This window comes from Homo sapiens, chromosome 2 (assembly GCF_000001405.40).
Source record: "Homo sapiens chromosome 2, GRCh38.p14 Primary Assembly".
In the NCBI taxonomy this organism is placed as follows: Eukaryota; Metazoa; Chordata; class Mammalia; order Primates; family Hominidae; genus Homo; species Homo sapiens.
This window is the reverse complement of record NC_000002.12, coordinates 6,421,123-6,425,153: the sequence shown is the minus strand read 5'-3', so window position 1 is coordinate 6,425,153 and position 4,031 is coordinate 6,421,123.

Sequence of the window (4,031 nt, the reverse complement as noted above, 5' to 3'; positions counted from 1 at the left end):
ATGGGGGAAGAGCAGATTTGCTGATGCCGCCCTCTCAGTACTATAGGAATTATGGTGGTGGTCATGTAGAAAAAAAAAGGAAGAAAAACTAATCTTTTAAAAATATTTTTCAATATAAATATGATATAGGAATCCTCCAGATTTTTTTTCTAACCTCAAATGGGCTTTTCTGCTTATTAAATAATATAGTATTTTTCTCTGGCTTCATATACAACTCTGAGAATAAAATTGCGTAAGTGTTACTTTTTAAAACTAATTTATTATTTAATATTACACTGGACATAAGATTATGTTATAAATCTCTCATCCTCTAAGAATGTCAGCATATACTTTCACATCAAACATGAAAAGACATCTAATTTATGTTTCAGGGTGGCTTAGACTTACATGACACTATTTTTCCTGAATTTATGTTCTTTGTACACACTTCTACAAGATTTCCCAGCATCCGATGTCATCCTTATAGAGCCAGCAACTAGCAGGACATCCTAACGTTAAGGCACAGACGTCCCTATTAAAATGAGCAGCAGGAATCCTCTGTGGATTTGAAGAATAATTCCCTGAAGAATTTACCCCTATCAGTTGCTGGATCATGATTACAGCAGAAAACCAGAAAGTTGAAAGCAGTGTGTGGGGAGAAAAAGGATCAGAAATACCAAATTATGCAGTTGGCCTAACTGCAGTCAGATGTCAGCAAAAGCACCATGTGTAGGCTCTCTCCTCATACTCGACGTGTCATTTTTTTTTTTTTTATAAAACACACATAAATAAATAAATAAAAGTTCTGCAAATTACAGTCTAGGAATTTAGAAATATGACTTTTTTTAAAGCAATCTTACCATTTCTTAAACTTTCTAAGCAACTCCAACCTGTTACAGAGATGCCTTTTAATTCATGGCCTCTAAGTAGATCAAAACCTGACCTCCTTTTTCTCTGGGCCTGGAGAACATGTGTTGCCACGTTGACAGCCCATCCCAGCCTAGTGGTGTGGCCTTTTCAAATTGAGCTTAAACCATTTGGTATGCAAGTTCTTTTGGTCGTGGCCAAACATGACTTCCTGTTTCTGAGGAGAAAGGCTTAAAAAGTCTCATAAAAAGACTCAAAGGGCTTCTTAGATATCAAAGCGTCCTTACAAAACATTGTTTGACGAGTTAAATGTATGGAATAAGAAACACACGGAATTCATTTCCTTTAAAATGCACGTGGGATTAAGGATTATGGAGAAAAAGGCTTAGAAAAATGCATTTTAGTTTTATCAAACTCAACTTAAAATGCGTAAAACATAGCTTGAATTGCATTAAATATTTAAATCATGGTTAACATTCTGTCTTAAAATGTGCAACTGTTTACACATACATATATTCAGACAGAAGGTGAACTTGTAAAATAATGTGATCGATTTTTAAAGTTCATAATAGAACTTTTACATCCAAATAAATATGTTTCAAAATACACACCTTGTAGGCCCTGCACGTAACGCAGAGATCCTGCCTCCCAGCCCCACTCCATGACAGCGCACGCCATGCCTTCTTTGTTTCAAAGCTGTCTTCAGGGTTTGGAAAACATTGTTTTGAATAGTTTCAATCTTCATTTTATAGCTATATTTGGAAAGAAGAAATTTCTTTTAGAGTCAAGCTTTATGTATAAATTAAATGACAAATCTGGGAATTCTAATTTAGGCTTAAGAAAATCAGATGCGATTTTCTAGTGGGTGTCTTAAACTGGCTCTCTGACAGTCATGACAGAGGATATGCAAAAGTGTTTAGAGCAATGGAATCATTCCTAGAAGAAACATTCTGACTCATCAGATGATTATTTCAAAAGATGATACCCATCTACATGGCTATATTTTGTAACATCTGTTCAAAACAAATCTCATTACTTTATAATGACTGTGTGTTATGATGTGGGTGTCTGTGTGTGTTAGCATATAAAAGAGAAGAGGAGAAACATCCAAATGTTTATAGGGGAAATCCCCAAATGGTAAGATTATAGGTAATTTTTGCGTTCTTTTTTGTACTTATCAATTTTTTAAATGGCCTATTATCAGCTTATCAGTGTTAATATGGTGTTTCATAACTGACTCTCAAAATCAAAGTCTGATTTGTAGCGTTTGCCCATTTTCATGATGGAAATAATCCTGTTATGGCTTTTTAAGATACCAACTTCAGGTCGGGGCAGGCAATGTTGGGTAGAGATGCTCTGATATGTCAGACCATACAGACCATGTTCAGAACACCACTGGGGCCCTTGTTCCTTTTATAGGAAAAGAAAATATTTCACATAAAAAGAAAATGACTATATGAGACTTGTGAATAAATTGCGGCCCCAGATATTTTCAAATGCATTTTCCAAAAGGGAAGAATTATACTAACATGTTAAACAGGTTATCTTTGTGTCAGGGTAGGAGAATAAAGAAAGATCTACAACACATTTTATCATAGATTGAGCCTTCTATTTAGGATGACCATATCATAATTCATCATCTAAACTGTGACAACTTTAAGGTGAAAAGGATTACTATTATTTATTTTGCAGAGAAACAGGCATAAATTGCAACTCTCTCTAGAAAACCGGAAAGCATTGTCATCCTACTTACTCTGAGCATTTTGAGAAAACTTAGCCTTGCCTGACACAAAATTTGATCCATAGATTTGTGCTTAGAGAGGCAGCATGCACTGAACTTGTATCTTGTTATTTTTGGTAATACCAAATGTGCATTAAACAACTAATTTGTGAGAGGCACGGTGCTGGGTGATGGACATGAAGATGGGCTACATCAGCAGAATGTGGTGTAGTTTGATAAGTACAGGAATAGAGATTTTATAAGGCACTGACAGTTGCAAGGAGCTTGTGACTTCAAAAGAGAAGCTAAGGAATGGTTTCATATTCTCTTGGGGTCTCTGGACAGGGGGTGCCTCCCATTTCACCTTGAGACATGTGATGACTTCCTCATTATTTAGGAAGATGAAAGAAAATGCCTTGAATTCCAAGCCAGAAAATTCCCTCTCATCTCTGTGTTGAATCTGGAAATACAGCACCACCTCCTTTCCGCCCTGTGAAAAATCTACGTAGATCCTAAGCATCACTCCAGGAGGGAATCAGAGCCGTTATGCAAGCCTTCCCTCAGCTCTCATGCCCCTCCTGAAACCTTTACTGATACGTGTTGATCAAAACAATCTCTCCAATAGATCCCTATAGTACTTTTTGTTGGTGGCTAGTATATACTCTCTTCTATTTGGTTAATTCCCCAATATATGTTTTAGCTTCTCCAGTAAGCTGAAAATGGAATGTTCTGTGTAAAAAGGTTTTTAATCTAATAGCTGATCTCCTTCACAAACTGCCTAGGATCATGTTTTGCTCATAGAAACAGCTAATGAAATCTTCATTTATTAATGGATTGAAAATCACTTTGGCATATGTGTGGTAAGCACTGTATAAGATAGAGAATACCTGTTAATACTAAAAATGTCTTAATATAAGCAAGACGTTTAATAAATTCTGATCTAATGCTATTGGAGCAAAGGACAACTGATAAATCAGAGGGAGGTGAGCAATGTAATCTAGCTGAAAGGGAGCGAAGCCTTGGATTCTGCCTTCTAAGACACGCACATCAATAAACCCAGAAAAATGCAGTCATGGTCACACCGCTGTGCTTTGATGTGGGTGCTGTCTTGGCAGTCACTTTTTATATTAATATTTCATATTAATGTTGGGCAGTACAATACGTTTAGGATAAAGAGGCCAGCGTTTCGGAGTCAGCCGCCGTCTGTCATAATGCCGTGTGATCTGAGTCTGACTACAGGAAGCCTGTCCTGTGGCTGAGCTTCCTCGGCCCCGTAGGATGCTGCACCTGATCTGTGATTCCTAGCTGACCTTTGGTTATGCTGTCTGCATCAGTTTCCCTGGTAACCTGACAAAGGTAAAATTGTCACTTATGTTACTAAGCAACCCTCAGGATAAAAGGACCACTGATTAGTACATTTTATCTGAACTGGAAGGAGCTAAAAGTGAACTAGGAATACCTGATG